The 25,793-nt window shown below is 40.9% G+C and overlaps 1 protein-coding gene across 4 annotated transcripts in view; it reads left to right on the top strand.

The window, feature by feature from the left end:
- The first annotated feature begins 2,359 nt into the window (after window positions 1–2,359).
- Window positions 2,360–25,793, top strand: part of WLS (Wnt ligand secretion mediator) — a 134,088-nt gene continuing 110,654 nt past the window's right edge. For 3 of the 4 annotated variants that reach the window (NM_001002292.4, XM_011542191.3, NM_024911.7), the window contains exon 1: window positions 2,383–2,712. In NM_001002292.4, the coding sequence (NP_001002292.3) occupies window positions 2,607–2,712 (106 nt within the window). In that variant the 5' untranslated portion in view covers window positions 2,383–2,606. Of the gene's footprint in view, window positions 2,713–25,793 lie in introns of all 4 variants that reach the window. The other variant, NM_001193334.1, reaches the window with a different exon arrangement.

Below are 25,793 nucleotides of genomic sequence, written 5' to 3'. Positions count from 1 at the left end.
CTAAACTGACAAAAGACAGATTAGCAAGGCAAAAGACAAATTTTTGTTCACATATATCAAATGTATGTGGGCATTCATAACCACTCAAGGAGGCAGTTGTTAATAGAATTTGGAGCTTATATTCTATCTTAATAGGAGAAGAAGTGTATTTATGAGAAAACAAATGACTTTTAGGAAAGATAAATGGGCCCTTAGGAGTGCTGGGCTCAGAACATGATACCCCAAGGTATCTGAGTACTTTGAACTGAAGGACATTGGAAGGACAACAATTCTGTCTACTTCATCCTTTCTGATAGTACCTGGTGTTTGCCAAAGTAGAGGTAATTAATTACTATTCAGTGAATAACATTTGGACTGGGGGGGGGTTCCTCTGGGGCAGGTGCAAGTACTTTGACATCTTGGTATCCTTGAGTGCTTAAGAAAGAAAGCCTGGAACATGTTAAAGGCTCAATAAGTGACTTGGATAAAGAGTTGAATGAGAGAATAGATAAACAGCAACCACAGTCATGCATTGCTTAATGATGGGAATACCTTCTGAGAATGTGTTGTTAGGTGATTTGTCATTGTGCAAATGTCATAGAGGGCACTTACATAAACCTAGGTAGCATAGCCTACTACAGACCTAGGCTACACCGTGTAGCTGATTGCTCCTAGACTACAAACCTGTCTGGCATGTTACTGTACTGAACACTGTAGACAACTGTAATGCAATAGTAAGCACTCTGTGTATCTAAACATATCTATAGAAAAGGTGTTGTAAGAATATGGTATTATAACCTTATAGGACTACTGTCACACACACGGTCTGTTGTTGACTGAAACATCCTTATGTGACACATAATGATGTGTATATCCTCAGAACTGTTAAGAACTATTAGATGTTGAAGAGATGGAGTTTTGTATGCATAAAGTTTGGTGCTTGTCCTTGACAAGTCTCTGTTCTATTTGGAGATTAGAAATGAATGCTTCTATTAAGTGTAACCTGCATGACATCTTTTATAAGGGCAATGAAAATTCAGGAACAGAGTAGAGGAGGAGAGAGGACTGGGAAAAATAGTCTCTTGGCATGAAGAGGGTGTGTAAGGATGGGAGGGACAAGAAACAAGATGTGTGGGTGGTGGTGGTAGAAACTGCACGTTTGGGGAGCAGGGTGGGGTATTTACCAAACCAAGGGTCTATTGAGTAAGGTGAGTTGTACTGGCCAAGCGGCCAGTTTATGAAACATGGAAAAACCAGGCCCAGAAATTTAGGCTTGATAGAGCAGGAAATCTCTATCGGGAGCCCCGCCCCTCTTTTTATGGAAGTTAAGTATAAATATAAATATATGATTTCTCACAAAGAGACAACAAACATTGTAACTTAATATAGGTACCCTCTAAACCAACTAAGATCTCTTTAGACCTTTGAAATACAAACTGTGGGCTTGCTTTCACATTCACTTATTCATTCCACAAAAGATTATGGGGCACCTACTAGAGCTAGCATTTTGTTAGGCACCATGGGGGGTACAAAGAACAAAAAAAACTTGGTCCCTATTCCCCAGGAGTTTACAGCTCAGTGGTGGAGACAAACGTGTACACAAATCCTTACAATAGGAGGTAAAAATGTAAATACAGGATTGTAGGGGCTCAGTTCCCAGAGATACTGCATGGAGGTGGTGTGGAAAATTAGAAAGATTTTTTAACACTAGTTGGTTTTGGATCAGGTTTAACATTGATGGAGTAGAACATGTTCTCTTTAAGGCAATAACCAGGGTTAAGGCTGTGGAAGCACATGTGCTGGAGTAACGAACAGTGGTCTGATTTGGCTGGAGAGCAAGTTTCCTCAAGGGGCGCCGTGGGGAATTTAGCTGGGTATGTGCCCAATAACCGAGGCTGGGAATCTGGTAGAAAGAAGTCGAGCTGAGACTTTATTCCGCATCTCTGTGTTTTGACTTAGGCATCTATTGGGTCCTTTTAAAAAAAATTCTCCTCCTCTTTCCTAAAGAGAGTTCTAGCAGTTGGGGGTGGGGTGGGGACCATTTCCTAAAGTCAACGCGTAAGTTAAAGGTCTGCAAGGCGGTCCACCGGTGATTTAAATCTCGCACTTCGGAAACCAGAAAAGGAAACCTGTGAGAAGCTGGGCAGGGGGAACCCGCTTAACATCAACAGCAACCCCTAAATGGCATCAGACCTTGGAGAGACAGGTTGCAGGCCAGACTCGGGAGCCAGGCGCCAGCACCCGCCAGAGCTCTGAGCCCCGAACTGGTGGGCAAGGGGTAGAGGAAGAGAGGGAGGGAGGGAGGGAGGAAGCGCGAGAGGGAGGGAGGAAGAAAGGGAGGGAGGCGGCGTCATGTGATCCGCTTCCCTGCTCCTTTAAGCGTCCACAGGCGGCGGAGCGGCCACAATCACAGCTCCGGGCATTGGGGGAACCCGAGCCGGCTGCGCCGGGGGAATCCGTGCGGGCGCCTTCCGTCCCGGTCCCATCCTCGCCGCGCTCCAGCACCTCTGAAGTTTTGCAGCGCCCAGAAAGGAGGCGAGGAAGGAGGGAGTGTGTGAGAGGAGGGAGCAAAAAGCTCACCCTAAAACATTTATTTCAAGGAGAAAAGAAAAAGGGGGGGCGCAAAAATGGCTGGGGCAATTATAGAAAACATGAGCACCAAGAAGCTGTGCATTGTTGGTGGGATTCTGCTCGTGTTCCAAATCATCGCCTTTCTGGTGGGAGGCTTGATTGGTAAGTGCGGAGAGCTGCAAACTTTTCCCCCTTTCTGTCTTTTCGGGCCCCTTCCCTCTTTGCCTCTTGGGCTACTTGTTACAGTATCACTGCCTTGCTTCTATGATCTAATTAGTCCGGCTATTGTGCTTAAGAAAGCAGAGCTCCATGGGGCTCCGTGGGGCACAATCCAGTCTAGTGGCTAAGAGAAAAGGAGGGGAAAAAGTTTTGGCCTAGTTTCAGTATCCACTTGAAAGGCAAGAGGGGGGCGGCGGGGGTGGGAATCTTAAGCATGGCGACGGATCGCGCGAGGAAGCGCTGGGTTACAAAGTTGATTGCTCGCCCCCCCCCCCCCCCGCTTTTTCCCGCGTTCCCCCCCTTTTCCTCTCGGTTCCCTTCCAATCAGCTCCGGGAGGGCAACGTAATCGACTTTATTAGGAACAACAGAAGAGTCGGGGAACTGTGCCCGGCGCAAACCCGGAGCTCTGTTACAAGGCTGAGATACTTGCACGGTTGTAAATGCATTTGGTCGTCTTTGCTAGGGGCTGAGGGTTTGCAATTTGGGGTCCCGACCTTCGCGCCCTCTGCTTTCCCGCCGCACTCCACCCCACGCTCTGCCGTGGACAGGTCCGAATTGTCGGCCGGGAGGTTGGGTGGGATGGGGTGGGGTGGGAGGGAGTCCTTGACCAGCGCCGCGGGAAGTTGGAGAGGTCGGAGGGGAAAAGCGTATCCGAAAGGTGTTGCTTTTGGCCTCCTGCCCACTCGTGAATATCCCTTCCCCCACTACTTAGAGCCCCGAGAGCCGGTGACTGTGAATGTCCCCGTCCTCTTTTGGCGCTTAGGAGAGCGCCCTCAGCTCCCACCACAGCCCCCCGCAGGTGACAGCTCGCCGGCCTCCTCGGCGACAGCGCCCGCCCCGGGAGACCTCCCCTGGCGTGCACCTCCCGGACCTCTCTGAGTCAAACAGGCTTCCGGGTGAAGAAAACCGCCTCACGGACCGTCCACTCGGAAAAACTCCCTTCCCCTCACTGTCTCCCCATCTGCATCCATCCTCCCGCCTCTCTGCACACTCGCGCCCCCCGCCCCCTCAAGATTTGGGACATCCCGGCACAAACTTCAATGCCAACTTTGCAGCGGGCGCGGACGGGAGGTTCGGTTTCCTTACTTCACGGCTTTGTTAAACTTTGCGGAGTGGGGAGTCCACGGAGGGGCTTTCTCCGCGCGTGCCTTTACGGGCGCCCACGCGATGTGGGGTGCGGGGAAAACGCCCGGGGGCGCCGGCGGCGTCGCTGCCAGAGCTGCACAGGCTTGGGCACCTCCAGTCGTGTGCTTGGCGTTTTGTCTCCAGACTTGGGTTTGATGGGAACAAATTAAAGGGAGTTTGGTACTGTAAATCACGGTAACATCCAAGCCAATTGTCTTAAACAAAGGAGAGTGGGTGAAGCTTCATCAAGGAGAGAAATACCTAAAGGAGACAGTGCTCTTTTCTCTGTGTGCATTTATCCACAAAACAGAAAAGGGTTCAGAGTTTTCAAACAATCTCTTATCCCCAGTGTGGGCCAAACAGCTTCACATTTTCTTTCTGGAACCCTCACCCTCAACACACACACACACACACACACACACGCGCGCACACACACACACGGGTTGGCTTTTGTGTTAGGAGCTTCTGTTTGGCTACATGCAATCTCGTTTCCCCGTATTGGATTTTTCGAGGCTCTTAATACCTTCTCTGCTGGGAGCTGAAGGCAGCCTTCCCTGTGCCCTCACAGTGATTATGCAGCGGTTACAATTACACCTCTTGTCTCCCTTGATGAGCAGTTGCAGTTAGATGCCATTGGATCTTGTGTGATTTCAGTGGCAGACCATAATTAAAATTTCTTGCACCTTGTGCTTTCAGAATTAAATTGGCCTATTATCCCTGTCTGACCTTCATCCTCTTTGAGGTTTTTGCACAAGCAGCAAACCATTACACATAGTTTCCTGGTGTTTGTTGGTGTGTTTCTTTTTCTAGGCTGATCTCCTAGCTTTGCAGACAGAGCCCATTATCCAAGAAGTAGGCTTCCTAGGGCACTTCTGAAACTAGTAGGATTTCTGGGATGCTACCACCAAGGAGAAGCCCTAAGGGCACTCGTGAGTGGCTGGTGGACATTGGAGCGACTATAGGGTCAGAACACTTGTCTGTTCCAAACAGGGTTTGTCTGGAGTAAGTGGTGCCAAAGATTGTTTTTCCCGAAGAATTTGGTTAATGACGACAACCTCAAAAAGTCCGCGGCAGGTGCTAACTGTAACTAGCTTCCCCTCAATTAATAAACTGCTTTATTCCAATTTCCTTGAAAAATATCTATGTATAACACTTCTTGGAGGAAACTGTATAAGTTTACTGCTTACCTCTCCTTCCTCAATTGCAAAGGCTGTGTCTCCAATTCAGATCAGATCTAGCCCATGTTGAACAGTGACTTAGCCTTTCCTCTTTCACTTAAACAGTAATTTTTTTTTGCTCTTAAATCTAAAATTTGGGTAGGACCCAAATATGGGAAATAAATATCAACAAAATGTAAGTGAAAAATTTTCCCACCAAACTTCCCTAAGCTGGAAAACAAAGGAAACTAAGGAAAGAATAGCAACAAAGTGGGCAAGCGGAGACAGTAGTTGAAGGAACAGTTTGTAGGCTGGAAGTCAAGGTAAAGTTCAGAAACCTCCTCTGCTCTCTCGAGTGAGAAGAGAACTCCTCCGCTGCTCATTGTTATTGCCACTTAAAAAGTCAGTTGTCCTGGGTGTGAAGTGTCTCTCTAATATATCTGCAGTAGGCCAAGTGAGAAAAAGAAATGTCCCCTTTGAACTGGCCAGAATATATTTTTCTTTTTGATCACTCTTTTTGCTGATGAAAGTAAACTTAGGAAGAGCAACTTAGGAAGGGGAGAATATAAATGGCAAAGCTCTTGTTTGTAAGGGTGTGAGTACTGCATACACCACACACACAAATATACAGCACAAAAACAACCACCCCACCAAACAATAACAATCCGTGAACCCCAGAGTGACCAGGCAAGTGAGTTAACTAGCAGGCTTCAGGCTCCTCATTGGTAGAGGAAGGAGTTTAAGGTCCCTTTCGGTTCTAAAATTGTGTAACTCTTTCAGTACTTAGAGAATTGTACATGACATTTAGGCTGTTGTTTCGTTGTAGCCTTCTAGATTTGATGGAGAAAATTTAAACATTCACTATAAAAGCAACTAGCCTCCAGGAATTGGCTTTGGTTTAGCCAGCTTAAATATTCTCCTATTTCAACATCCTTCTTACCAAAAAAAAAAAAAAACAAAAAAAAACACATTTTTTTGCTTGCTTTTTTTTTTTTTTTTTTTTTTTTTTTTGGCACCAGTGTCTGTAAGCTAAACCTTTAATGGGATTTTGCAAAAAGGCTCTGAAAGCAACATCTTACATAGTAGAACTTAGGGTATTTATAAATTCACTGATTTATATAATGCTTTTTTAAAAACTTTGAGCCACTATGAAACCATACATCTGATACATCTACTATTCTAAATACATCTAAATACATTCTAAATATTTAGAAATTATTTAAAAATGCGGTAGTACCTGAAGGAAAAGATAAATATTTTTAAAAATATAACTTTATCCTCCTTAAAAATAAGCCTGCAGAAAACTTAAAAATAATTCTCTTTTGATTTCATGTTGGGTGAATTTAGCTCCTGAAAAGGCAGCTTTGGGGGTGGTGGTAGAAGCAGGGAGGGAAGGAGACCATGTACCCTGAAAAGAGAGTGCAGACTAAAAATCATGAACTTGAATCCCATTATGTGCAATTTGCTCAGCTTCAAATTAGTCATGTCTCAGAAATATAATGGTTGAAAAAGCAGGTCACTGTTCTCAGCTCTTCTAAAACTGCTAAGAGTATGAAGATCAGAACTGGATTAATAGAAAATTGTTGCATTGTTTTCAGCATACCCATAAATGAGACTATTCCAAACATAAACTGTAAGTATCAACAAATCACCAATTATTATTTCTTTAGAAAAGATCATTGTTTCTTCCAAAAGGTAACTTATGTGAGTGGCCTTTTTAAATTTTTAATGTTGAGGATGTAATGTATACTGTATAAGATATAACATACACACATATGTAATCAATTTTCTCAAATTGTGCATGGATTATCTACTTCTTTCAAGGATGTAGCCCACACGATTGTGCTAGTATTGTTTAAGTGGAGGCAACTGGTCTTTACTGTGACCCATTTATGTGAGCTTTTGTTTCTGCTGCTGTTGTTTATTTGGAAGTTGCAGAATTTTAAGAAATTAAATTACAGTTATGCAGAGTATATGTGTTTACTCTCCAATTTATTAGATTTTAAGCTTGTTGCATTTCTTTTAATATATCTTAATGATGCAATAGTTGTAATCCTTCAGTATTTGGGTGTCTGGTGAGAATCTTGACAAGAATCTTGACAAGATTAATCAATTGGTTTTTGGTTGATGTTAAGTCATATTTTTCTGTATTCAATTCTGCTTTTTATTTTGTAAAATGTCATTGTTTTCCTCTTTGTTAACTACTAGAAGTATCTAATGTGGTTTGTAGGAGTACTGTGCAACCTTATAAATTAATCTTTTTTAAAAGAGCATGTTTTTAATTTACTCTTTTGTAAACTCTTAAAAAGAGTTTTCAATTACTCTTTTTTAAAAGAGTAATTGAAATTACAATATTTGACTTAAAAAAAACTTAACTATTTGGTTCTTGCAGTGTAATCATGCTCATGCTAACAATCTCTAATTGCTCTTTTTTTTTTTTTTTTTTTTGTGACGGAGTCTCGTTCTGTCAGCCAGGCTGAAGTGCAATGGCTCACTGCAACCTCCGCCTCCCGGGTTCAAGTGATTCTCCTGCCTCAGCCTCCCGATAGCTGGGATTACAGGCACCTGCTACCACGCCCAGCTAATTGTTGTATTTTTAGTAGAGACGGGGTTTCACCAGGTTGGCCAGGCGGGGTTTCACCGGGTTGGCCGGGCTGGTCTCAAACTCCTGGCCTCAGGAGATCCACCTGCCTCGGCCTCCCAAAGTGCTGGGATTACAGGCACAAGATGCCCGGCTTGAATTGCTCTTTCATCTGATTGTTCTTTCAGTACAACCTGTCTAGACTTCTATTCGAACTTTCCCTTTTCCTGTTACAGTGAGAAACATTTCCTTGAGCTAATAGTGTTATGTGTGGCTTTGTGAGGTTTTCAGGTTCCCTGCCTGAAACCCAGATTGAGACTTCAGGCCTTCCCTTCCTACATGACATTTTACAATGATTTGACCTTAAAATGTTTAAATCCATATAAACTGCAGAAATATTTCTTACCTTATATTCCTCATAAAGGTGTTTCTATGGAGATTTAGAATTTTGAATTTGTTGAAATTATATAAAGGTCCTTAAAACTCCTGTGTGCTACTTGCCTGATTTGCAAAATATCTATTAGGGTGTACTGTGTGCTCAGGATGGGGCTACATGCCGACACGGGGTTGGTAAAGAGGAGACATGGAGCTTGAGTAAACTAGGGGAGCTGTGGGTAGAAAAGAGCCCCTCGTCATCTAAGTTTACAACAAAAGATTTCCTAGGATGTAGTTTTCTAGCATCAAGATAATTTTCACTTATTTATTGGGAATTCGAGAATGTATGAAATTAGAACCCCTACTAATTATACCATCAACTAATTATATTAATATTTCATCTTGAAATAGATATATTAATAAAATGATAAAATGTTTAACATGTATTGAATGTGCAATATGTGCCAAAGCCTGTCTAATTTCATCTGTACAAAACCTTGGCAAATTGGTATTTTTGTACCCCTTTTACATGTAAGGGAACTGAGGTGCAGAAAGATCTAGTAAAACTGCACAAGATTACCTAGCTACTCGTGGTCAAAGCTGGGATTGAACTCCAGTCAATCGGACATCAGAGCCTAGATTATCAACTTTAGGTGATCCTCCCACTTTCCCCAAAACCTTGACTTTTAGGCCTGAATAAAAATCTGAATGCAGGGAAACATGAGAATAGCACTAAAACTGATTTCTCATTTTTATAATCAGGTAACATCAAAAGGAAGAAAATATTAAATGTGATGATAAATGAAATGGAGTCCAGCTGTACAGACCCAAAAAGTGCCTTGCCAAGGCTGAGGGGAGGACATGTCTTGAGAAGTTTGCCTGTGCCAGTCCAACCAATTCCATTCAAGTTCTAACCAGTCCCCATAATTGTATGAATCATCCAATTGACTAAAGCAGCCAAGTTAACCATCAAATGTTTGAGATTCTGCTACTTGCAAGAATATTACTCAATTTTATTTTCTCTAGTTGGTGATTTTAACATATATGTAGTTATACAGTAAGTCCGGACTTTTTCAAAGGAGAGGAAAGAAAGAATCAGTGGAGGTTGGAGAGGTTTTTAGAGGGTGTAGGTTGGTAGTGATGGTGGAGGAATTGAGAAAAGAGCCTCTTACTGAAAGCTGAAAATTCTTTTCCCATGCGGAGAAGTTTTGTTTGTATGCACACCCATGCATAATAACGAGGGCCTTTTAAACCAGAGACTCCTACAAACAGCAGCCCTGACAGCAGGAATAGGTACATTTTGTTCTTTGGAAAATATGCTAATAGATTTCTCTATTGAAAGATTTGCAGCCCTTGATTTTGATAGAGACCCTGAGAGGTAATGAGACACAGGGAGCATCAAGACACGAAATGATCACGACTATTTCATTTAGGTCTTACTTTTTCTCTGAAGGGTTGTGATGGTGGCCTAATAAATGTGCCAGCTCTGCACAGTTCTAGAGAAAGTGCCCGTATGGGGATGTGGGAAGGAGAGGAGGAGCTTGAGACATGCCAATTCTCAAACTTAATGATCTCAAACTTTAGTGTTTTCTAAGTTTTCTTCTCATAAAATGATGAATCTAAAAGGATTGCTAAATTAAAGAAAATAATGATGTATAATTTATAATATAAAAATACTAAATTTCTATAGCCTCTTACTACCACCTCTTCCCCCCACCCCCCACATTCTATCCCTGACTAAATCTTGTAGGGGAGCAAAAGCAGTAATCATATTGGAAGACTGGGGGACTATGGAAAGCGTTTCACATGTAAAGATTCACTTAATGATCACATCAACCCAAAGAAGTAAATACTTTACTTTCTTCAATTTTCACATGAATCTGAGGCTCATTTAAGAACCTTTTTTGAGGTTGCAGAGATAGTAAATAAGAGTGCAGAGATAGTAAATGAGAGGGCTAAGACTCAAGCCCACAGTCCTTGATTGAATCCTAAGCCATATTCTTAAGCTTAATGCTACCTTCCTCCCATTGTCCTTTCCATTTCTATGGGAAACAAAGGGATGAGTGTGGTGAAACTGATTCTACACAGATAGAGCAGAAGATGAAAGCTCAATCCCCCCCACCTTTTCGTTTTGCTTCCACCCCTTCCCCAAACCATGCACTCATATCACTGCATGGTTACTGATCATTGGCCTATTACTTCCTTAACAAGGGATCCCCAACTCCTGAGACATAAGAACTGCCTACACCAGCCATTGTAAATATTGGCAGTGTTTCTGGGCCATGCTAGGGAGGGCTGAACCTCAGAAATTACATGCCAACACTCCCCAAAGGAAATTATTGCATACAGCAAAAGATGGCTTAGAGTTGTAATAGGAAATTTGTCGAGATAGTGGGCCCTCTGAATGTTCCCTGGATTTAGCATACATCGTAGGTCCTGAAGGTAGCTGTTGAAGAAATGGGAGTGTAATGAGGATGTGGAATAGGAAGATGGGGGTAGAATATAGACTGAAGAAAATGAAATGAAGGGCTCTGGAAATATATGAGACTGTCTTTTCAAGGACACAGCTTGTGCCTGGATTTCCAAAACCTGCTTCCAGTGTCACCCAATCCCCCAAAACTGAGCTAACATTTCTATCTGCTATGCCTATTTAAATCCTGGGCCTTCAAGTTTAATTTTCTGCTCCCCCTTTCTCCTTAGTACTCCATTCTCATAATGTGGCCAAGGGGTATTCTTTCTTTGCTGGCCCACAGGAATCACAGGGTCTTCTTAAACATCTGGTTAATTCCCTGGGTTAACTCAGAGGTTTTATCCACAGATACACATTTCCAAGAAAGCAGAGGTAATTGAAAGAAAAGGCCAAGTTATTACATTTGTTTTGGCAAGGCATTATGATTTTCCTTTAGAAAGAAGATAATAAGTCTGTAAATGGTTGACTCAGTTTTTCTTCAGACCTAGTTTAATAAGGCCAGCCTCATGAAAGTTGGTTGGAGGCCAGTTAACTGCTGCCTTGGTCCTGGCTGACCCCCTCCAAAAGAGAGAGCTTCTGGTCTCAAAGCAGCGTCATTTAGTGGAGAGAAACTTGGCTAGGACTCTGCAGACAACCTGTGGCCTCAATGATCCCAAAAAAGTCATAAAATCTCATTGACTCCCTCTCTCAACTGCGATGTGAAACAGAGCCCTCCTTCCTCATGGGGATTGCTACAAGCATAAAATATCACTGGAATCTACTATCTTGAGGACTTGACACTTGTTGGAGTGTCTCATTGAGCCAGGCCTATCAGAGATGTGATTTCCAGAGGACTTTGCACTGAAACCATTTGATTAATCCCAAATCCATCTCTCCTACATTTCTTTGTCCCTCTCTGTTCTTAGATCTGGGGAAACTTACACACGACACTGTTTATTATCCATTCTTTTCCTTCTTTGAGTCACCACCACTTTGCCCAACACCTACAGATTTGTAGATCTGTTGAGGCAGAAGGAATGGGAATGACCCAAAACCTTACTTGGTTTGGGTTTGAAAGTTTAAGGAGGTCATCCTGCTTTCTAACATTAGTTCCTGTGCTATAACCAAGTATTTCATTATGAACCTCCCCCAAATGATAAATATTAATGTTATTGCAGAAAACTAACAAATAAGAACACAAGTCCAAATCTTCTCCTAAAGCATGCACATTTTACTCCCAAGAGAATCTCTCATGCTTTTACTCAATCTATTACTTTTACTTTATATACAGTGTTAGTGAAGCTTGATTATGCCATTTTGTAAGTCTGTCCTTCTGAGTTGGGATGATTTGCCAACCCTCACTGGCAGCACAGACTTGTAGAAGTATGGTAACATGAGGACATAGGATGAGACAAGAAATTGATTAAAAGTCTCTATTCAGAATAAGAATGCCTGGGATTCAGGGGTCTCTGGGATATTAGGCAAGTCATTTCACACATCAGTGGTACCTCACCCCTGCCCCCCACCCCCACCCCCACCCCCACCCCACACCTTGGCAGCATCAATACATTCTAGGCCAATATGATACTTGATTCCACCCTAAAGCTGTGGGATTTTGTCACTGTCCATGAGTGTGGCTACTTGAATCCATTGTATCCATACACTTTGGTGGTGTTTGTCCTGAATAGAAGCTGAAGAGCTTGTCAGTATTAAATCGTAAGGATGAAAGGGCCTTCAAGACTATCTTGTTCTACCTTAATTTAGAAGGAATTCGAGTCCCAGGAAAGGGAAGCCATTCAGTTCATGCAATTAGAGGTGGAGCCATGGCTTGGACGCAGTTTCTAATGCTACTCAGTGCCCCAAAGATATATGTCCTTCAGAGTTTCAGTGTGAAGATCATCTGATTTCTGTCTAAGGCTATTAAAGAGTTAATGTGCAGAACATTCCCAACTGGTGCTTCTTATAGCTCGATTGATTTTTCTGTCACTTGAAAATAAAATAGCAATAACTTTGTCATCTCCCCCTTCCCTTTGTATCCTTAATATACTTAGCCAATCCCTTATGGAACAACAGAATTATATAGAATGTTATGCTATGCTATGTGGATTTTAAGGAACACTACAGAATTTAAAAAAAATCAACTAAATTCCTTCCTTGCTTGCTGAGGGTGTGGTACATTCCCTTCCTCCTGCTTGGGGAAATGTAAATTTAAAACTCTAAAAAACACACACCAAAACCACGCAGTATAGTCATTACTTATCCAATCCAAAGCACAGTCCTTGCGTCTAGTTTTAAGACTTTATCAGTCTGAGGCTTCCTTGACTAAAAAAATCTATGACTAATTCTTGTGCTTTCGGAGGATGTTTGTGGCAGGCATAATTCCGAAGTTCTAGTGAGCTTGGGGTAAAGTCACATAGCACTATATATTTTGGTCGAATTTACATACAAAAGCAGCAACAAAATTCCTCATTCTTCGTCTCTGCCATTTCTTCACTTTGAAGGTAATTGCAAGCAGAAAATTCACATTGCCAAAATAAGGCTTACAATGTTATGGGCCCCTCCTTTGTGACTAACAAGTGTATTTTTGTGATTTGAGTGGTGCAAGTATTATACTGTAAATTCTTCCTCCTCTGTCTTTTCATTTTGTTGAAACTGAGCAGAGTCACGAAGCACTATGTTTTTCTGCACCATCTAATTTAGCTGAAATAAATCTTGACTTTTAAGTCTCTGTTTAACAAGCTTGCCTTCAGGTGATCACTAAAAAAGTTACGTTCCATGTTTTATGAATTCCAGCCTTCTTTCCAGGCAGAGCAGCCCTTTTTGAGGTTCTATTTCTTTTACTCAGTTCCCATATATTTTATCTGTTCTTATTTAGGTTGTAATTTGCCCCAGAGCAGAATGCCTCAGACATGGAAAAGATATAGAAAAGACATTCCTTTCTTTTTTCGGTTCTGTTGAGCTAGTTCTGGCTTGTGTGAACCAGGCTTTTACCTTTTAGCTCCTGTGTGTCTGGGCTAAGTGAAGTCATAGATAAGATTTTTACTGAGGCTTTGAAAAGACTGCACATTGGGCCTTGCTGTCACTTATAGAATATCTCAGAAAGGTTTTGCTTCTTGAGGATCATATGAGGATGTGGGTGGGGTGGGGCTTGGCTGTGACAGGCAACTGTGGGACCTCAGCTATCTTTTTATTCATGCCTCCCCCTGAATTTCAGAATTTGCAGGTCCATGAGCATGCCAGTATTAAATCCCTGGCACTATTCTTTGAACATGCCCAAACAGGACAGAGCTTTGCTCTATGAGAATGTGGTATTTCTGGGTAATAGTTGATGAAAGAGAAAAAAAAGATAATTTGTAAATGCTCAAGATTTTTAAACTGAAAGGGCACTAAGGTCATCTTTTAATTAGCATTTGTTTCTGTTTTTACAGATATCAGAAGAATTCCTCCAATACCTTCCTTCCCTCCCCCACCTACTTCTTGAAAAAGAGAAAGTTTAGGAGATCGATGAGCAGTATGTTTGGGATTTTAACAAAGTCAAGATTAATGTATATATGAAACAGTAATATTTCTATGTTAAAACTTCGGCTAGTTACATAAAGCAGCTCTGTAAAGGAAAGGCATTAACTCTTCCCACTTGACAGAACTGTTACTTTTGTAATTTTGAAATTTTTGAAATTTTAGTAATTTTGAAAGTTGCCTCTTGATGTGGGCTTCTTACAGGATTCTTGAGAAATAGTCACGCTATAAAAATAAGTGTTGGCTCGAGGTTTTCCATTTGATAGTTCATGTTAAATGAGAAGCTTAATCCTTGAGAAACTTGATCTCTCCATTCAAAGTGATGGATTTCTATAATAACTGATGGAATGTGGTTTTATGGTTGATAAATGGCAGTGATCTGATTTATCTCTTTGTTATCAAACTTGCTTTGTAACCTAGACTAACCATTTAAATTCTGTGAGCCTCAGTTTCCTGAACCAAAAATCTCTGAGTCACGGGGGTTGTGGGATTTAAATGAGAGAACGAGTTCCATCTTCTTGGGAGCCTGCACATAGGTGTTAGATCAATTAATATATGTGAGCCATTTCTCTGAAGGAGAGGTTGCCCATAATTAACTTTTCAAGTCTGTTTGTTTGTTTATTCTGGAGTCAACTTGTGTCTCGTAAGGTCAATGGGCAGGTTATTTCTGCCTCTTAATTGATTGGATAAAATTAGAAACCCAGCCACCCTGCTTGATAGCCTTCCTATTAGGCAAGATCTATGCTAGCCAATAGTCCAATAAGCAGGTCATTCATATATTCGGTAAATTAGAGTAATTAACTTGGGTTGTTTTTCCTCTTTTTAACCAACATTTAATTTGAATCTAAATGTTTGTCTTTTAAAATTCTGGGCCAGTATTCATGGCTCTTTAGAGCATAGATAAGCCCAGGTAGCATGACTTTTTTAAATGGATATCACTCATTATGTGGAAGAGATTTATTCCCTCTTTGCTTGCTGCGAAGTGAATCCCAGTTGTACTTCTGTTTTACATTATAAAATTGGAGTCATCATCCACTGGGAAATTTTTTTGCTTCTAGATAATAACGTGAATGACAAAGACTTCTTAAAGTCAAACTTTGAGGAAAAATGATTTTTAAAAATAAAATATTAATTACTTCTGAAACATTAGCTAGAATTATAGTTTATAAGAAATTTTAAACAAAAAATAATGATTAAAATATAACCTCTGTCAAACTGTAAGCTGTATGAGAATAATGATGGTCTAATATACTCACCTTTATGGCTGTTACTACAGATCAATGCAATGTAGGTACCCAATAATATCTGTTGAAGAGGTGAATAGATGAATGCCTTGCATTTTGGACCTATTGTGGAGGTAACTAAAATGCTTCTACTTTAAGGCTTTGAGGTCCTCCCTAAGTTTTATAACATTATATTCCAGGCTATTATTATTTAAATGGGAGGAGGGTTTTTATTATTCACTTGAACATAAAAGATTGTGTTACCTTCATAATATACATGCTTACATTTCTAAAATGGTACAATTTTGGAGTTGGAAAGGGACGTTTTTCCATTATATTGTGGAAACTAAGGTCCAAGGAAGACATAGTGAGAAATAAGGTTTGAACTGAGCTTTCTGACCACTAGCGGAGAGTTTCATTACCTATGCCTACTGTTATGCTGATTGTTATTATGTCTGGGTTATATATTTTGGTCCCTACTTGGCCATAAAGCCAGATAATTGACTGTGGCTGGTTGTCTATACTAGTTGATTAAAGTTTAGTGGGAAGAAGGGAACACACAGAAGTATATATATTTCCAAATTTTGAATATCCAAATGGAACTGTTGAACTGTAATGCAAATTTTGAGATTTACTGTCTTTAAGAAGTAAATGTGTTTCTTCTGTTCCGTGAGGGCTATTTTGAAGGGGCTTCTTTTAGAAGAGCCACATAGTTTGCTTAATTTTCTATAAACTTTTAAAGATGAAAAACAAATCTTTGAAAGTTATCCTTCTAAGAATTTTGTAGATTTATTTACAGTTGTACTTAGAGACCAATAATGTATTTATGATGTCAGCTTTTATAAATGCCCTTGACAGGAAAATATAGTTCATTCAAGTAACTACCTCTGCATTCCACTGTCTTCAGCTTATAGATCTGGTGAGTGGGAATGAATTCATTCGCACATTCCTTCAGGATTCCTCCAGGTTCCTGCACACAAGCTGTGCCAAATGTCTGCCTGCAGGCAAAGAGGAACGGAGGCCTGTGACTTGCAAGTAGAGCCAGGCAGAGGTGCGAGGCGGGAACAGGGATTAAAGGAGCATATGTAAACTGAAAGGGAAGGAAGCAAGTATGACAAGGCCTCAAAACGGCAGTGCCTGGCAAAGAGTACACACCTAGAATGTGATAGGTATGATTTTATCATTAATCTTATTCTTTTGATCCAGAAATGAGTTCTTAGAGGTAAATCACCCACCCAGGGTTCTTTGGAGGCTGGCATAAAAGGTCTTTGCCTGCTGTGAACCTAGTTGTACTGGTTCAGAGAAATATAGATGATTCCAGTTCCAGACTTGGATGTACGATTTCTTGTTTGAATTTAAAAGCCTGTGACTGGAAGTAGGTATTTTTGTCCCCTCTCAATATCTATTTATATTTTTGAACAAGAATAAAATGATGTTAAAGTAATTAAAAACAAAGAAAAAAGAAAAAAAAATCCACCATTTTGATACAACCATTCTATGTTAATGTTTTATTCTTTCCCCTTATGTGACTGAATATTTCCAATTTTCTATAAAAGAAATGTATAAGCCTACTTAGCAGAGGCTCAGAAGTTTATTGTGTATGCTGCTTCTACCAGTTGTATGTTTACTTTGGAATTTCAGCAGTCAGTTCCTCTTCTCTTCCTTCAATACTCTTCTCTGATACTTAACTCAAGATTGTGGTTGAGCCATTGAACCATGGGAAATTCATTTTCAAAATCTGCTTAATTGCTGTGAGACTTTTAATTTGTTCTGGATGATGGTGCTAATGTCTGGGAACTGGGACTGAAGCCCTCCAAAGTTGTTAATTTAATCAACCGCTGTGTCCTTGCCATGCCTAATGAAGCAGGGGGCGGTGGGGGAACCAGACCCCTCTCACAAAGGGGCTGGGTTCCTCCTGACCACCTTGTCAAAGATAAATAAGAGGGGCCCCACAGTTAAGCTGAACAGTTGGAGCAAATTACCAGAGTGTCAGCCCACGTTATCCAAAGCCCAGGGTTATGCTTCCCAAAATAATTACTGAGTAGGTTTTATGTAGGACCCCGGAGTTTTAAGGCATGGGTTTTGTGTGCGTGTGTTCACACCTGCCAATCTGCAGAATTCTTCAGTCAGTTTGGGGTTCTGTTATGGCTTTGTCCATAATCTGTAAGATCATAAACATCACCCCCAGACTATTGATGTTCCCGTTAACCACTGAAGTTTTCCATGGCGAGACTGGTGAAAGCTTGCTCTGTCCTCATGATAAATTAGCTTGTTTATTCCTCTTCTGCTTATTTCTATCCTGCTGTTGGTTAGTGTAATGAAGCAGAAGTCCATTGTATGTGTTCATTGGGTAGCGATCCTCTGGCACCAAAGGGGGTAATTGAGTAGAAAGGCGGAATGCTGTTGGTGCATGGGAGAAGTTAACACCACATGAGGTCACCAGGCTTCAAGCTTTAATCAATGTGGACACAATGCAATTGAGATTGTGAAAAGGGTTTGTTTATAGTGTGAGAGTAAGGGTCAGTAGTTAATTTGAAATGCTGTAGGTGTGTTTTCCTTGAACCAAGAAGGTACAGAGCATGTGTCATAGAGGACTGTAAATATCCTCAAGGGAGGGACGTAATTGGGGTGGGGATTTAAAAAGAAGGGCATTTAAGAACTTCAGTGTACTTCTTATTGCTCCATCCATGTTTTATTGAAATTTTTTGCCATTTTTTAAAATGAGGAGACTGTAGAAGAAAAGTATTTAAGTCCATGGTATAAACGCACAGCCCTACCAACAAAGAACTTTGTCTTTTTCAGCAGTGATTTCCTTTGGGAAGATATTTGGAGTATATAAAATATTGCTAATAGGACCCCTGTATACTAATTCTGAAAGAATGCTCACTCTCAGAAGTTTATATCTTTAGAATCTGTCATTGTTGCGGCTTGAATTAAATAATATGAAAACCATTAACCCTCTACTTGTTCATGCTGCTGCCTTTTTCCATCTCAGGGCTCCAGTCTGTAAAGTGTGCCTGTCTGCTTTTTGGATTAATTTTGGCATCTCCCCCATTATTGTCTAAGTTTCAACAGCTAGAAACACAGCTTCAGCCAATTTGAATGTAGAGAGGGCCTGCCCTTTTGCTGCAGAGAAACTTTGCAAACAAACATCTGGTTTTCTGAAATGACTGCAGGGAAAAGGACATGAGGGTAATGGAGGAGCCAGAGGCTTGCCATGAACTCTCCCATGCTCTGTTGTGTGTTTGTGAAATCTGCGTAATGCACTGATACACCTGATACCTCACATTTGTATAGTGCTTTTATCCTTCTTGAAGGTACTTTAGTAGAAATCATCTTATTTGATCTTCCCAACAACACTCTAAGATAGGCCAGTCCATCAGGGATATTTACATTTTAAACTTATGAAAACTGAGATGGGGAGTAACTGTTTGTGGTATGGTTTATTTGGCAAGGCAGTAGCTATGTTTGTGGAAGGAATAACTCGGGATTTGAATATTAATTGCTACATTATGACAAGTTGAAGAACAAGAAAAAAGAGTAGTTTTAAAAAATATGAACTACTTGTGATAGAAATCACTGTGTATTGGCCAAACATTTCTTTTTGAGCTCTCTTCCAGGACAAGTAAATGACAGTTGTGGTCCATCTTCTTCACCCTCCTCTGTGTAGCAAGCCATTCCCATGAACAGTTGTTGATTCTCTCTTTACATATTTATTCAACACATTTTAGCCTGCTGAGGGTGTCCAGAGTTTTTCTCTTTCCCCGGGTGGAATCTGGGTCTTTAGAACCCCAGGGTAAATCTTAAAGAAGGAACCAGGGAGTGCCTAGGAGATGAGGGTGAAACTAATTTACTGGGTTTAGTTAGTGAATGATGCTATTGTTGCCCACTTTATTAATTCTTTTGTATAGTGCCTTTCTACTTATTTAAGCCATGCTAATAAACATGCATTGAAAGGTTATTTTTAGTGTCAGTATGATAACCCATAGTATGGATAAAATTAAATTGCTCAATCTATTGTTGGACATTTAGAATAATTCCAGTTTAAGGCTATTATAAACAATACTGGAGAAATCTTCTTTGTATTTAAATTCTTATGTACATCCTTTATTATTTCCTTAGTAAATTCACTTTTGTGAATTTATCTTAGGTAAAATGAAATGCACATTTTTAAGGATTTTGATGGTCAGTGATAATCATCATATCACCCATTAGCCAAATCTGGGAATGTCTATCTCTTTGCATGTTAGCCAGTACTGGTGATTACTTTTGTTTAAAAAATGTTTCCCAATGTGCTGATAATATCTTATTCTTTTAATTTACATTTCGTTGATTGATAGTAATGGTAAACCTCTTTTCATGTGCCTACTGGCTACATATATTTTTATATGACTTGCGTGGTTGTTCCTTTCTTTTAATATACTATTTTCAAAGTTGGATCATCCCAGTAATACAACTTCTTGGAGATTAGGAAAAGAAGGAAGATTTATTGGAGAGGATGATTGGTGTTTTTTGGCTGCCTAGTGTTTCGCCTATTTGTTTTGGCAGCAGGATCTGCCTGAATCTCCTTTGTGGAGCATTTTTTTCCCCACTCTCAGTCCATGTGCCTTAAGAGAATCTTCACTTCTGATTCCAGTGATGGACATGTGACCAAGCCAAGCACTAGCCACGGTGGATTTATGCCTCAAGTTAGTCTAATTAGAGTGAATTCTGAGACTTGTGTGGAGGCTACCAGGAAGAGATGTCCTCTCTTTTTCTTACTGAATTTCAACTCACAGAATATAAGCCTGGAATTGTTGGAGTCTTTCCAATGAAGCCTGAGAATGAAGCTAATAAAATACAGGGTGGAATTCAATGACTGTAGAGAAGTGAGATCTGTTGACATAATCTGATTTCTCAAAACAACCACTAGAAGACTGCTTTATCTCTAGATATTTTTCAGTATCATCTTACTAATTTAGTTTTTGCTTAAGTATCTTTGAGCAGGCTTTCCTGTCTCTTACAACCAAAAGAAACTGATACACTTGTTATGCCTTCTTCAGTTTAAAAATAAGTTGGTGGAACCAGATGTGGTGGCTCACACCTGTGGTCCCAGCACTTTGGGAGGCCTGAGGTCAGGAGTTTGAGACTAGCCTGGCTAACATGGTGAAACCCCATCTCTATTAAAAAATACAAAAATTAGCCGAATGTGGTTTCACCTGCCTGTAGTCCCAGCTACTTGGGAGGCTGAGGCAGGAGAATCACTTGAAACTGGGAGGCAGAGGTTGCAGTGAGCCAAGATCACAACACTGCACTCCAGCCTGGGTGACAGTGCGAGACTCCATCTCAAAAAAAAAAAAGGAGTAAGTTGGTGGAGGCCACTGCTGCATTGCAGAGTGTATTTGGACAGTTAGCTTATTTTGATGAAATAAGTCCTCTGTAACAATTAAAGAATAAAATAAGTTATGGAACCAACCTCTGTTAGGCAGCTCCTCTAACTAGAGCAGTATTGGAAATGGGGTGTGTGTGTGTGTGTGTGTGTGTGTGTTCAGAGATCACTGTTGAGCACCAAGTTGCTGGTGAAGATCATTAGTGACAATTCCTGGAACTTGGCCAGGCTGCTGGCTTTGAAGCAAAGCTCATTGCAACACGGGTTCCTGCTGGGCTGGATGTCTGTGTGAAATGGATGGCAACAGGATGTCCCAGCAGCTGAAATGAAGATCCTGAAGGCAGAAGAGAAGCTTTAATGACTGCCCAAGCCGAGCAGTAGTGCTGGGGATGGTTGGGAAATTCAGTAGATGTTATGATGACTCGAGGTTTCTTTGGGACATCTAGAAGGCTGTGAGGCCGAGGAAGCAATGAGCAGCACACGTTGCTACAAGTTCTGAACTAGGTTAGCCATGGGCTACAGAAGGAGTAAACACATGGATTTTGCCCTCCAGCAACTTAAATTTGGGAAGACAAGATCCATAAAATAAGACAGTTTGTTGTTAAGGGCTAAGGGATCTAGGCATTTTTTAGATCAGATAATTTTTTTTTTTGATACATGGGGGTTTGGTATGGGCCTTTAAAGTATGGGACAGCCATCTGAAATACAACTTGATGTGCATAATCCAAGGCAAGATTCATCTCACTCAAGGTGCCAAATTAATAATGAACTTAATACAGAAAGCCATGAGCAGAGTATCAAGAGTTCTGGCTCTAGCCCCATTTATCTCTTTGGTATATCATTGAATCCCTCATGCTTCCTCGTCTTTCCTTTTTTTTTTTTTTTTTTTTGGAATGAAGTTTCGCTCTTGTTGCCCAGTCTGGAGAGCAATGGCGCAATCTCAGCTCACTGCAACCTCTGCGTCCCGGGTTCAAGTGATTCTCCTGCCTCAGCCTCCTGAGTAGCTGGGATTACAGGCGCCTACCACCATGCCTGGCTAATTTTTGTATATTTAGTAGAGACGGGGTTTCACCATGTTGACCAGGCTGGTCTTGAACTTCTGACCTCAGGTGATCCACCTGCCTCGGCCTCCCAAAGTGCTGGGATTACAGACATGAGCCACCACGCCCGGCTTTACTTCCTCTTGTCTTTCTAAATGGACCTGGTAATGCTTTCCCTTGGCAAATAAAAACAGAGGCATGTCTTTCCTCAAAGCCAAGTATGGTTGGGCTTTTCCACCCATTTCTTTTCTTCCTTATTAAAGGCACTAAAATAAATCTTCAGACATGTTAGGTTACCTATCATTAGAAATTTATTTTAGATGATCATTAAGGTATATCTTAGCGCTTAGCTAAATTCTGAAGAATACAAAGAGGCACGAGAGATGATAATCTGTTCATCTGTGGTGTTATTGAAATAAAGCACTGGATGTTAAATTAGTGAGTTGAGATCTCAGTATGGGAATCTACCACTTGCCAGCTATGAGACCTAGTCTTGCTTTTACTGTCTCATCTGTAACCTACTATAGATCTGAAAGCTTAAATAAGATAATTATATGAAGGCATTTATCTTTTGGATTATACCAAAAACAGATAAGGTGGAACTATTTAGCTGAGTAGACAGGCAATGACATATATAAAAACATCATTAATAAAATAGAGCAGTGTAAGATGAAAATATTAGGTAATATTATTTGAGTACTTAGTATGTACCAGGCAATGTATTAAGTATTTTATGTGCATTATGTCAACTCCCGATCTGGTAGTGTTGGAACTAAAATCTTCATCTAACTTGCTATTTTTATGTTTAAAGGTCTAGAGAAATTGAAGGATCCTTAAAGCACTGATTTGGACCTCCTTAACTTGTTAATTGTATTTTCTTTTAAAACCCTTTGTTCTAAAAGTAATGGAATTTGGGGGATAAAACCTGGAGGTGGCTGTGAATTGACCAGAAGGTTTACAAGTACCCATAAGGGCTGGCATTGTGTTAGACATTGTGGGCAAATTCATTCAGCTCTGGGACTCCATCTGTATTTCCCTTCGTGAACTCTTTTGCTGAATGTCCCATCATCCTTTGTCGAGATGAGGTCCTGTTCATCCTGTCTGCTTTCACAACATAAATGTTTTAGGAACTCTCCACAGACTGGCTGGATTGTCTGTTTGGGCTGTGAACAGATTGTGTGGGTGATGAGACAAGTAGGAAAAGACTCAGCGATCAAAAAAGGGGGAAGGAAAGCTCTTTCTCTTTCTCTTAGAATGGAGCTCGGATACAAAGGGTACTTCGTTAATCATGCCTCCTTTGTAATCAGAATGGGGGAGGTATTTTTTTAAACCACCACTATTTTGTCCTCTGTCTCATCCAAGTTAAGCCAACTGTGCAATGGCTAATCGAGGGGTTAAAAATTTCCCAGATGCAGCCAGGCAGAATCAACTTCACTAGATAAAGGAATCATTTGATGGTGATTTGAAAGCTGTCAGGTGTAGCACCAGGCTTCTTGCAGACATGGCACTGGCCTGGTAGGATACCCATGTCCAAGATCCACATGGTGGCAGATTTGTGATTAGATGATGAAAATCTCATGAGTGGTGAGAAATGGGGAAGAGATCTGTAAGACTTAGGGGTTTTGGTGAGTTTAGAGGATTCAGTCACTTTGCACTATGTCCCTAGAACAATCACTGAATGGAAAATCCAAGCATCTCAATTTACTGAACGACCTTGGGCAACTTGTTTAAACTTTCTGTAGTTGCTTTCTTAGAAATCAAAGAAGGGTAATAATCTTTGGTGCCCACTTAATGGGTGTTGTATAAAATAATGAGATTGTAAATGCTTTGAGTGCCCTGGAGATGAGGCGATAGGGAAAATTCTCTTAGGTGTTCTTCATGCTGAATATGGAAAGATGAATAAGATTTTGTTGTTTTTTAAGAAAAACCTGTTGTTTTTTAAGAAAAACCTGTCATTTTTTTAGCACCTCTTTTTTTTTTTTTTCTTTTACAAAGGAGGCTGTGTGCCTCAGTAGAGGTTGACTTTGTAACAGTTTTACTTTCCTGGACAGGTCTGCAAATTTACAATGTAGTCGGTTTTCCAAGAGGAATGTTTGGGTTTAGACCTGTCCTCTCCATTCACTAAATCTAGTGGTGAGATGTTTTTAATGAATTGTTGGTGTACAGCAAATAAAGAGCAATGAAACAAAAGACAGTGTTTAGAAAAGGACTAATCAACTGTTACTCTAACTGTCCCCTAGCTGGATGGTTGCCTATTTTCTTTTTAAAATTAAATGCAGTCTTTAGGCCAAAGCAGTGGGAGGTGGCGGTACATTCCAAGAAAGAGGCATCAGAGTGTCTGAGGGTTGGAAGACAGCAGAAAGCTGCTTGATTCTTGGTGGGTTTTTTTCTGTTTGTTTTGTTTTTGGTTTTGCCCTTACTGCCTTACCCCTTGATCATCTATTCAGAACAGAGGGGAAAAATCCTCCACAAGGTTTCTCCTCCCCTTGGTTTGTGTCACCTAAACAACATTTTCTTCCCAGGTGAGATTGTAGTTTACCTCTCCTCTTGTAGTGATGAGCGGCTGGGGCTTTCCGCCCAGTGGACCTTCCATTTGTCTGTTTTCAACAGGGAACCCCAATTTACTAATTCTCTGGAGAAACAGAGATTTTGCTTGGGGAGGGGGCCTGAGAATTTGTTTAGCCCAGTCTCACCCACACTGGGTCTCCCAAGAGAGATGACCTTCCTGTTAGGATCTTTCTATTTTAGCGACCTATTGCTCTCTAGACAGCTTGTTTAGTTTTTCAATCCAGTTGGAACATTACGATGGTTAAATGTTCTTTCTTATCATTCAGTGGAAAACTGGCTTCCATGACTGCATTGTAATTTCCACTCATGAATGCTGGATTTTCCATTTAGAATAATCTTGAATGTATGCTTCACTTCAGTTACACAGTAGCCTTTCAAATAACTAAAGATGACTATCATTTCTCTCCTTTGACTTTCTCTTCTCCAGTTAAAATACCCCTGGTCTGGTTTAGACTCCTGACCATACTTGCTGTCCCTTTCTGGTGATTGCCTTCCCAGTCAAGGTTAAGTTTACCTCTGCTACCATGGCAACCAGCTACTGTTTGTTGTTTCTACTTAAAGGAGAGCACCATTTTCCTATTTTCTGCAGAAAATTCATAATTCAAAAATCAGCTTGTTGATGTCCCTAGAACAAAGACATCCATACTGCTGAGTCCACATAGTGCTGAGATCAACAACCTCTACAATAGTCCATACAGTGGAATTGCCATTTGAACTCATGTAACTTTGGGTAAATGTATTTCTTGTGTATCCCTGCATTAGTTTTTCTCATCAGGAGAAACAGTGTGGCCTGAGACAAGGAGAGACTATGGACCTGGGACAGATTAGGTTCAAACCCCAGTTCAGCCACTTATTGGCTGTGACCTTGGATGAGTTATTTTAATTTTTCAGGGCCTCATTTTACTCATCTCTGAATGGAGATAATAATATCTACCACTTCTTTTTTTTTTTTGAAACGGAGTTTCATTTTTGTTGCCCAGGCTGGAGCGCAATTGTGCAATCTTGGCTCACCGCAACCTCCGCTTCCCAGGTTCAAGTGATTTCTCCTGCCTCAGCCTCCTGAGTAGCTGGGATTACAGGCATGCGCCACCACACCCAGCTAATTTTTTGTATTTTTAGTAGAGACGGGTTTTCTCCATGTTGGTCAGGCTGGTCTCAAACTCCCGACATCAGGTGTTCCGCCCACCTCGGCCTCCCAAAGTGCTGGGATTACAGGCACGAGCCAACGTGCCCGGCCACACTTACTTCTGTATAAGAATGAAAATCACCCTGTTAAGTCCCTAGCACAATGCCTAGCACATAAAAAATATCCAACAAGTGGTAGCCATTATTATAATTTCTAAATGACAGCCTGATGCAGTCAGTGTAACATGAGGCAAACTGTAATGGTTATGAATTGCTGAGAACTTGGAATCTCTGTAGTTGGAAACTCTGAAAATGAAGTGTTGTAGAATGGCTTGATGGAGTATGAATTTTTCTTGTAAGCCTGGATGATTGGGGTAAAGCAGAGGTTCTCCACCAGAAGCAGTTTTGCTCCCCAGGGAATATTTGGCAATGTTTGGAGAAGACTTCCCCCACCCACACCCCCCCTGAACTTGCCAGCAGTGGGGATGAAGATGCT

The sequence above is a fragment of the Homo sapiens genome, chromosome 1, assembly GCF_000001405.40.
Source record: "Homo sapiens chromosome 1, GRCh38.p14 Primary Assembly".
Lineage (NCBI taxonomy): Eukaryota > Metazoa > Chordata > Mammalia > Primates > Hominidae > Homo > Homo sapiens.
The sequence above is the reverse complement of the archived record's forward strand: the minus strand, read 5'-3'. Positions and strand labels throughout refer to the sequence as shown.